The sequence below is a fragment of the Homo sapiens genome, chromosome 22 (genome assembly GCF_000001405.40).
Source record: "Homo sapiens chromosome 22, GRCh38.p14 Primary Assembly".
Lineage (NCBI taxonomy): Eukaryota > Metazoa > Chordata > Mammalia > Primates > Hominidae > Homo > Homo sapiens.
In genome coordinates this window covers 20,289,929-20,299,626 of record NC_000022.11, presented here as the reverse complement: position 1 = coordinate 20,299,626, position 9,698 = coordinate 20,289,929, and the positions used below count along the sequence as shown (strand labels likewise).

Genomic DNA, 9,698 nt, shown 5'->3' with positions numbered 1-9,698 from the left:
GGGAGACACCGCCCCATCCCAGGGGCCCCGCCCCTCCCTAGCATCTGCACCCGCTCCTCTTGAGGCCCCGCCCCGCCCGCCGTAGGGCCCACGCCTTCTCCACGTGAGTCCCTCGCCCCGCGCTCCAAGCAGCTCCCTTTCCTCAGCAGACGCCGGTCCACCCTACGACCCCAGCTCTCACCTCTGGAGAACCCATCCCGAAGTCCCAACCCCACCCCTGAGGCCCCGCCCCAACCCGAGGCCCGGCCGGCTCCGGTGGTCATACTCCAGAACACCAGCGCTTCTTCCTCAAGGGTTCTGGCACGCCCCAGGACCCACCGCCCCTTCTCCTCTTGAGGCCGCGCCCCGCGCTCCCAGCCGCGCCCGCTCCTCGAGAGGACCCGACCCGCCTTCCCAGCCGCGCCCGCTCCTCGGGAGGACCGGCTCCGCGCCCCCATTCCGTGGGAAGCCCTGCCTCACACTCCCAGTCTCGCCCTCTCCTCGGAAGGCCCCGCCCCGCGCTCCCAGCCGCGCCCTCTCCTCGGGAGGTTCCGCCCCGCGCGCTGCAGACCTCTGTGCGTCCACAGCAGGCCCCGCCCACCGGGCCGTGGCCACACCCCCGCGAGAGACCCGGTCCCCGGGGCTACCCGCCCTGAGCTCCGCCTTCCTCACAGGAGACCCGCCCCATTGGGAGCGGGACCCCTGACCAGGCTTGCGGTCTCCCCACCACACCGGGTTTCCCAGGTCCCCAGGCCAGCCAGGTGGGTCCGGAGCCCGCCGATCAGCGCAGCCGCACACCTGGGTTCCTCCCTGGTCCTTGAGCCGCGTGGACCCACAGCTGAGGCCGGATCGGCTGAGAATCCAGCCCTCAAAGTGGGTCCGCTTCTCCTCTGGTCTAAATGGGCGTATGGGAAGCCGTCCTCTCCCTCCCACCCCTCAGGCCTCTTAGGGGCTTGCCCCGCGCTCCTCTCCTGTCCTCCCAGTCCCACCGCCCACCCAAGGGCAAATGCGGACCACTAGGCCCCCTCGGAACCTGTGCAGCCCTGTGGTTCTTCCCTTCCCTTGCCACCCAACAAGAGTCCGCTGGCCACACCGCCTCCCCTGCAGGCCCGGCCTCAGTGCCGCCCGCCCGTGGGCCACCTCTAGAGCACCTACCCTCTCGCGGCCCCTTTGCCTCAATGCCCCTCCCAGATGTCACTTTCTTGGTGGAACCGCCCCTGGCGGCCTGCCGTAGTGCACCCCTCCCCATCACTCACCGCTGGGCCCCTCGTCACCTCACGATATTCCTGCACCCCACAGACGCTGGGTCTGGCTCCAGCCTCCTCCCACCTCACCCACCTGCTTCTCCCTGTGCACCTTGCACCTGCTGGAAAGAGCAGGAGGTACCTTGCACTCCCTGACCTGTTCTGCAATGTTGAAATTTGAGGCTGAATAATTTCCTTGTGGGAGCTGCCCTGTGCATTGCAGGTTGTGTATCAGCATCCCTGGCCTCCAGGAACCAGAGGCCTGTAGTACACACACACACAGACATACACAGTCGGGACAGCCGTAAATGTCTCCAGACATTGCCAGGTGCCCCTGGGGGACACCATCACCACCACTCGAGAGAGAGAGAGGCTTCCTGATGAATGGAGCAACAGTTTTTCTGCTCCTCTTCCTCCTGCCGGCACCACAGAGCAAAGGGGAGAGACAAAAGGAGTGGATGAATCCAGGCTCATTTTGCTGGAGAGAGGCTAGCCTCGGCAGCCGGCCATAGCCACCAGTCTCCCCTTCCTGAGGACCATCCCTCCTCCTGTGGCCCCTGTCCACACCTATCACGCCTTTCTCCCCAGCACCTGTCATGCCATCGGCTCTTCCTGAGCCCAGGCTGTTTGCATGCTGCTCTCAGGCACCTTTCCCTCCCCTGCATCCCACACCCTCCTTCCTCTCCTCATCAGGGTCAGCATGGTGGGTGCTACCCCTGGCAGGCCCTCTCTGACCCCCAGGGCCCACCTGGGCACCTATGTGGCTGCAACTCCCTCTTCTCTTCTTGCACTTGTTGCTGGTGACTTTGACAGCTGTGCCCCATCCATACTGCTGCCTTGATGTGTCGTTATTTAGTGAATGAAATTTCCACATGTGGGAACCCATGTGGGAAGTGTGACCCCAGTTTCTAGGCTGGTGACTGTGGATTTGAGATGCATCCCCCAGGCCTTGCCCTGAGTCACCCTGGACCACACCCAGTCCTCACAAGCACCCTGGCACTTCAGCTACATGGTGGGGACCCTCTGCCAGCAGGGCTGAGGCCAAGGCCCCCTGGCTTCCCAAAGTCTCTGTTCCTGCTCTCCATGAAGACAGCCCTTTGATGCCACGTCCTCTCCTCTGGAGGGCACACCACGCTTGTCTGGGCTGCATTCTTCTCCTGAGCATCTGCACCTGGTTACCAGAATTGGAGCCTGGGTTCCTAGCACTCAGCCTCCACCCAGGCCCTGTATGTTGGGAGTAACTTGTCGACGCTGGTGACTCGCTCAGGAAGGTGAGAAGAGCCGACCCTGACCCTAACCCTCCCCATCTGGAGCCAATACTCGCCATGACTGCCATTTTCTGGATAATCCTGTTGATCTGATCTGCTCCTGGCCCAAGACCTCCCCTCTAACGCACTCATATCCATGAGAGAGAGGGGGTCCCACCAGCTGTGCCACCTCTCACTGCACTGGTAATGGAGAAGGCTGTCAGCCCTCCACATCACACACACTTTGGGCAAAATGACTGAGTGTATGACAGTCAGCTCACCGATTTACCGCCATGAGAAAACATTTTAAATGGCCCATTTTCAAGGCATGATAAATCTAAGTACTGGCAGCCAGCCTGAGAATGTAACAAACCGCACGGCTCATGCACGTAGAAGATCACAATAAGCAGACAGAATGTAGAAAAAGGGTCAGCCCATAAAAGGGAAGAAAGTTTCGTTATTGGAAAATTGAAACTTAAGCGGGGAAGGCGACGGGGTATAACCTTATAAGGTGGATAATGAAACTTAGGCAATGTCCTGGAAGATTGTAACCCCATAGTACTCGACCAATGAGGAGGAGGGACTTGTGTGCTAGGGCATAAGTTACTTGCTGTGACTGCCCTGAGTGCGCCTATCCACCAGACACCAATCTCGCAAGACCACTATTAAAAGTCTCACTTTCCCGGGCATGGTGGCTCACGCCTGTAATCCCAGCACTTTGGGAGGCGGAGGCGGGCGGATCACCAGGTCAGGAGATCCAGACCATCCTGGCTAACACGGTGAAACCCCGTCTCTACTAAAAATACAAAAAATTAGCCAGGTGTGGTGGTGGGCACCTGTAGTCCCAGCTACTCGGGAGGCTGAGGCAGGAGAATGGCGTGAACCCGGGAGGCGGAGCTTGCAGTGAGCCGAGATGGCGCCTCTGCACTCCAGCCTGGGCGACAGAGCGAGACTCCGTCTCAAAAAAAAAAAAAAAAAAGTCTCACTTTCACTGCTCGTGCCTCTGAGTCCATTCTTCAGGTTTGGATGGGTGAGCTTGTTTCTCACACTGCCACATTGCCTCTCCCAATATTCCTGACAAATGCCAGACAAGGGCTTAGACGTCATCCCTGTTCTTACACGGGAAACCCCAGAGCAGAATCTAAGCTGAAACACACCTGAAAATGTCACGGCAAGGCCAAGGCAAAGCTCAGAGACAGGGTGGTCCTTGTCATGCATGGCCTGTGGAGGGGCCAAGCCTGGCTTCAGCACCCCAGCCACCCGGGCAGTCCTCAGGGTGTTCTCAGTCCTGCCTCATGTGGGTGCCGGGTCAAGGAAGGTCCCTCACCTCACATCCTACCATCAGACTTTTACTCTGTAGCCTGGGGCTCAAAAGCAGAGGGTCTGAGGGTGACATCAGAGAAGGTGGCAGATCAGGAAGCTCCGGGAACCCATCCCTCCCCTGGACAACAGTGGTACTGAAAGGAACCGTCTTAAGCAGTGATCCTGGAAACCAACAGAATGCTTTTGCAACATTCAGAGGCCAGCTTAATGAAGAGCCTGGTCCATTTCAGCCAGTATCAGTCAATTTCCCCCTTTATGGGAGCACCTACCATCCCCCAACCCTCAACCCAGTGGCACACAGAGGAATACAACCCTGGTGCACAGTAGCACTATTCACAACAGCAAAACGGTGCAAACAAAACGTGATCCATCCATACAGTGGAATACTATTAAGCTATAAAAAGGAATGAAGTACTAATGCATGCCATGACATGGATGAACTTTGAAAGTATGCAAAATCGAAGAAGCCAGTCACATGCATGGAACTGGAGAAACTTATGTTAAGTGAAATGAGACAGAACAGAAAGTTAAACACCGCATGTTCTTGCTCATATGCGGAAGCTAAAAAAAGCTGGCCTCATAGAAGTCAAAAGTAGAACAGAGGATAGTAGAGGCTGGGAAGGGTGGAAAGAAGGGAGGGAGAGGGAGGGAGAGATGTGTTGAAGGATACAAAATTATAGCTACATGGCAGGAATAAGTTCTAGTGTTCTACACCAATGTAGGATGACTCTAGTTAACAACAACATATTATGGGTCAGGTGTCACGGCTCACGCCTGTAATCCCAGCACTTTGGGAGGCCTAGAGGGGTAGAATTGCTTGAGCCCAGCAGTTCACAACCAGCCTAGGCAACATGGTCAAATCCCATCACTACAGAACATACAAAAGTTAGCCAGGTGTGGTGGTACATGCCTGTAGTCCCAGCTACTCGGGTTGCTGAGGCAGGAGGATCACCTGAGCCTTGGGAGGTAGAGGCTACAGTGAGTCGTGATGGTGCTACTGCACTCCAGCCTGGGCAACAGAGTGAGGCCCTGTCTCAAAAACAAAAAACAAAAACCAAAATCCAAACCAAAACAAAAATTATGTATTTTCAGCTAGCTAGAAAGAGAATATTGAGTGTTCGTAATGCAAAGAAATGATAAATGTTTGAGATGATAGGTGTGCTAATTACCCTCATCTGATCACCATACATTGCATGTATAGAAACATCACTACGTACCCCACGAATATGTACAATTATTATGTGTCAATTAAAAAATAAAAATAGCCAGGTGTGGTGGCTCACACCTGTAATCCCAGCAATTTGGGAGGCCAAGGCAGGAGGATCACTTGAGCCCAAGAGTTCTAGACCAGTCTGGGCAACATAATAAGACCTCATCTCTATAAAAAAATACAAAATTAACCAGGCATGGTGGTCTATGTCTGTTATCCCAGCTACTCAGGAGGCTGAGGTGAGGGGATTGCTTGAGCCCAGGAGGTTGAGGCTGCAGTGAGCTATGATCGTGCCACTGCACTCCAGCCTGGGCAATGGAAGGAGACCCTGTCTCTAAAATAAAAGTGAAATTTTTTTAAGAAAAGAAAGAAAGATGCCAGACACAGACGGCCACAAGTTTTATGGTTCAGTTTATATGAAGAGTTCAGAATAGGCAAACCCATAGAGACAGAAGTCACACGAAGACAAGCCCATAATGTAGCCTGGTGACTGTGGCACTGGTAAGGGCCTGGAGGTGGAGGACAGGGGGAGTGGGAGGGGCTGCCAAGGCCCACGGAGTTTCTTTGGGGTCTGGAAATACTCTGGGGCTACAGAGTGTTGATGTCTGCTCAACCTTGTGTATAGACTAAAAAACCATTCGATTGTGCCATTGAAATGGAAAAAATTGCATGGTATAATGCAAAAGGTAATAAATGAATAGTATAATGAATTATATCTCAATAAAGCTGTTATCTTTTTTTAAAAAGCAAAGAGCTCAAAGTTCTAGCATTTGCTTCAAGGAAGCCTGTGGCCCTGCACAGAGGCGAAGGTGGGCAGGGGCTGCCAGGGGCAGGGCTGCAGAGAGGGCAGGGGGAGAAGCGAGGGGTACAGGGATCACAGAGATCTCTGCTCACATCCAGACCATAGCAGGGCAGGCCTAGCGCTGGGTGCCCAGGCCCACGGGAGAGCCCACCTGTGGGAACAAGGCTGGCCTGAAAGTCACTGGCTCCATGTGACAATCAATGAAACAACCGAGTTTCACAGGAGCTCTGTAAATCCTAGGAAGCAGGTCTTACGCTCAGCTGGGGACCCTTGGCAGGTGGCTACCCTGAGCCAGCTGATGGCTTTTTTTTTTTTTTTTTTTTTAAGAGACAAGGTCTCTGTTGCCCAGGCTGGAGTGCAGTGATGTGATCACAGCTCACTGTAGCCTTGAACTCCTGGGCTTGTGATCCCCCTGCCTCAGCCTCCCAAGTAGCTGGGACTATAGGCTGGACTGCACCCAGCTAATTTTTAAAAAATAGTTTTTTGTGGAGACAGGGTCTGGCTGTGTTACCCCAGGCTGATCTGAAACTCCTGGGCTCAAGCAATCCTCCCACCTTGGCCTTTCAAAGTGCTGGGATTCAGGCGTGAGCCACTGAACACAGTCATGGATTATTTTGAAAGAATGATGCCCCACCAGGGCCAGGGGATCCAGGTGGGAGTTGTCGGTGGGGGGGTCCTCAGGGAGATCAACTGGATGGGAGATGAGTGTCGGGGATGGAGGGGTGGGCTCCGTTCTCCAGCTCAGGAGACAGGCAGATCTGAGAGGGCCAGACTTGGGCATGTGGTGGGGACCCAGCTGCTGGGCGCCCCCGAGGTTGGGCCAGTTACCAGGGCCTGCCACTCTCAAGGAGGAAGCAGACAAGAAACAGACCTTCGAGGGTAGAGAGGCCGCTGTGCTGCCTGTCCGGGCCCCTGGGCACATGCAGTCAACCGTGCTCAGGACTCCTTCCGTTCTCTCACTTGCACTCATTCCCAGCGAGATAATTGTTTCTCCTCAGCCGTGAGCATGACATTGGAGCTCTGGCAAAGTCAGGTTGTTGTTTTTTTTGCCATGTGCCTCTTACCTGTACTCTGAAATATTTGTTTCTCTGCCAGAAACATGGTTCCCTGCGTTCATTCTAATTTGTTGCATTTTTCTGCTTGCCCTGTAGCCACTTTTACCGATATTTTTGGTCTGTCCGCAGGCAAAGGAATTCATTCACATTCATTTAATTTGGAGTTTGTCTTTCCGTTATCAGCCTGCACCAAACCTGGGCTGCTGGGTATATAAATTCCCTCATCGGTACGTTATCCCCTTATCCACTCCATGCTGCCGTTCACAGATCCTACTTGAGTTCTATTTAGCTATGACATTTTATTCACTTTTCTCAAAGCTAGTAAAATATGATTGCATTTCCTGAAGTTAAGATTGTCTGCTAGATCCCAGAACATGCCACTGTTTATGTGAATGCAATCACACTTCACCACTTTATATAATCATTTTCAATGCGTGTATAAGGAAAGGTATTTAGATCCCCCCCACCCCTGCCATATTGTTTCCTTGCAAAATTAGGGTATATTCTGCTGACAAGCATGGTGTTCACAACCTTCCCATGCAGGAGCTACGATCACTGCTCCATTTTATGCGGGGGAAACTGAAGCTCAGAGAGGAGGAGGGACTTGCCCGAGAGCCCACAGCAATATTTGAAGCTGGGATCGCTGTCCTCAGAGACATTTACATTTTCCAAGAATCATACGTGTGCTAGGTCCACGGAGCCTACTGCCCCCAACCCCCACCCCAGGGAGATGCAGGTGTCTGGCACCAGGTGAGCCCGGGCTGGCATAGTCTTGAGGGCCTGCAGGCCAGGGGTCAGGAATGTGGGAGCCCAGCTGAAGGGGCCCGAGCCCTCCGGCAACTGGAAGGGGAGGGGCCGATGGGGTTGAGGCTGGGTAAACCCATGCATCTTTGTGGTTGACGAAGTGGGATTGTGTGTGTGAAGAGGGAGGCAGGCTTGGGGTGCAAGACCCCTTTGCTGGATGGAGCAGATGTGAGCCTTGGGAAAGCTGAATGCCACAGTGACAACAGCAGCCGCATTGACCCCAGATGTTGTGATGTCCCAGGCATGCCCCACGTGGGAGCACATGGACTGCAGAGGGAGACTCGGGGCGCTGGCTTTGTGCCAGACGGGGTTTGGGACTTCTTCCTCGGGGAAGTGAGAATAGTAATAATAATGCCCCCTCAGATTATTGTCAAGATTCAGGGGGCACCCAAGTTGTTTAGCACGAGCTCCAGCACCCACTAAGCACACAATAACCCAGAGCCATGATCTCTCTGCCTGAGCAGGTAGCAGGGTGGGGGACTGAGAGGCTGCAGAAAAGCCTCAGAGCCTCAGACCCCCTGCAGGCTGGGAGGGGCCCTGGGGAAGGTCGGCTGCTGACTTGGAGAGGTCGAGGCAGGGCTTGAGCTGGGCGGTTTACAGGTAGGGGTGCTCCCTGTGAGATGCCCCAGCTGGCATCAGTCTTGGGGCCCCAGGCAAGGCTGAGCCTCCCAGAGCCTCTCTGTAGGGTGGCTGGGTGCCTGTGATGGCCGGGAACCAGAGACCTTGTCAGGAGGGCTGACAGGTTCCAGGCAGAATCTCAGAGGGCCGCCCCTTTCAGAAGTGAACAGGAGGTCAGAGGACATGCCACATGGGCTCCTGTGGAGTCGAGATGCTTAATAGAGCCACATGTCTGGTGATGCCAGGACAACCGCCCAGAATGGTTCATCCCATGGCCCGGCCACACCCTCTCTCCAGCCCGTCTGAGGCAGTGCATGTGTCTGGAGTGGGCCTGGTGACACTCTTGCTCAGGTGGAGCTCTCCTCAGGGAGGGGTGCCCGGCCATCCCCTGACGTCTCCCCAGCCTGACCTAGCTCTCTCCCCCAGGTGGGCAGTCCCCAGTGTGCAGGGATAAGCTTGTCTACTGTCCCCAGAGCCTGACCTGGCCTTGTGTTCCCTGCCGGGTGCCGGCAGGGCTTGTAGCCTCAGCACTGACCATGCCTGCTGGGCACCCACTCAAGGGCTTGGGGGCTTCCCGGAGGAGGTGACAGCTGAGCTGAGACAAGAAGGACCCAGGCTGGTGAGGGAGAACCAGGGTCTCAGGGAGCACAGGGAGACAGTCCATAAAGTCACGGGGAGACTTTGGCCCAGGAGGGTGAAATCAGCACCCCAGACTCACCCCCAAGCCTGCCCCACTCTAGCCAGGGAAGGGTCGGGGCGGGGGGCTGGCGGCCTCTACTTCTCACTTCTTTGCTGTGGACACCCCCATGCCCCCATCTTCCTCCAGCAGCACGGGAATCCCCAAGGGCCCCATCAGTCCCAGCTCCTGAACCAGAGGTCTCAAACTGCAGGCTCTGCTGGAGGTCCGAATGTCAGGGGTCAGAATGTCAGCAACCTGTGCCTTCCAGCAGGGTCACCAAGGTGAGTTCCCTTGGGTGGAGGACAGACGGTGCTGTGCACATCACAGCTGAAGGCTTGGGCTCTCCTCCTGTCCCAGAGCCCTTCAGGGGCTTCAGGCCTCATGCAGAGCCTGTTTCCTTGGCTGATGTGGGATGTGTTTCAGCCCCAGGTCTCAGCCAGCGGTCGCCCAGCGGCACGGTCAGAGCCGGGCCTGCCTGGTTCCCTGGGCCGGCACTCTGAGTCCAAGGTGGCACGGTTGGGCAGTGACCTCTCCCTGGGCCCCCAACCTCTGACCTCCTAGGCACTGGCCCGAGCCATGGCTCCTGAAAAGGAAAACCTGGGAACTCCTTCAACGTCCACCATAGGTGATGATGGGCTCAGAGCACCATGGGGTGTGCCCAAGATGATGAGCCCCTCCCTGCATGTCAGTAACAGGGACACACATCTCTGATGCGTGGGGAGGGAAGAGTCTGAGTG

General features: G+C 55.6%; 5 annotated features.

Moving 5' to 3' along the window:
• Positions 16-155: a silencer, noted in NCBI's record as "silent region_13491". NCBI's record gives its function as "represses an Ori minimal core promoter by ATAC-STARR-seq in GM12878 lymphoblastoid cells {active_cell/tissue: GM12878}" and the evidence as "EXISTENCE:reporter gene assay evidence [ECO:0000049][PMID:35858748]".
• Positions 176-355: a silencer, noted in NCBI's record as "silent region_13490". NCBI's record gives its function as "represses an Ori minimal core promoter by ATAC-STARR-seq in GM12878 lymphoblastoid cells {active_cell/tissue: GM12878}" and the evidence as "EXISTENCE:reporter gene assay evidence [ECO:0000049][PMID:35858748]".
• Positions 396-665: a silencer, noted in NCBI's record as "silent region_13489". NCBI's record gives its function as "represses an Ori minimal core promoter by ATAC-STARR-seq in GM12878 lymphoblastoid cells {active_cell/tissue: GM12878}" and the evidence as "EXISTENCE:reporter gene assay evidence [ECO:0000049][PMID:35858748]".
• Positions 1,119-1,620: an enhancer, noted in NCBI's record as "H3K27ac-H3K4me1 hESC enhancer chr22:20285530-20286031 (GRCh37/hg19 assembly coordinates)". NCBI's record gives its function as "activates a minimal SCP1, AML or CMV promoter by ChIP-STARR-seq in naive H9 embryonic stem cells {active_cell/tissue: H9 hESC(naive)}" and the evidence as "EXISTENCE:reporter gene assay evidence [ECO:0000049][PMID:30033119]".
• Positions 6,602-7,103: an enhancer, noted in NCBI's record as "H3K4me1 hESC enhancer chr22:20280047-20280548 (GRCh37/hg19 assembly coordinates)". NCBI's record gives its function as "activates a minimal SCP1, AML or CMV promoter by ChIP-STARR-seq in naive H9 embryonic stem cells {active_cell/tissue: H9 hESC(naive)}" and the evidence as "EXISTENCE:reporter gene assay evidence [ECO:0000049][PMID:30033119]".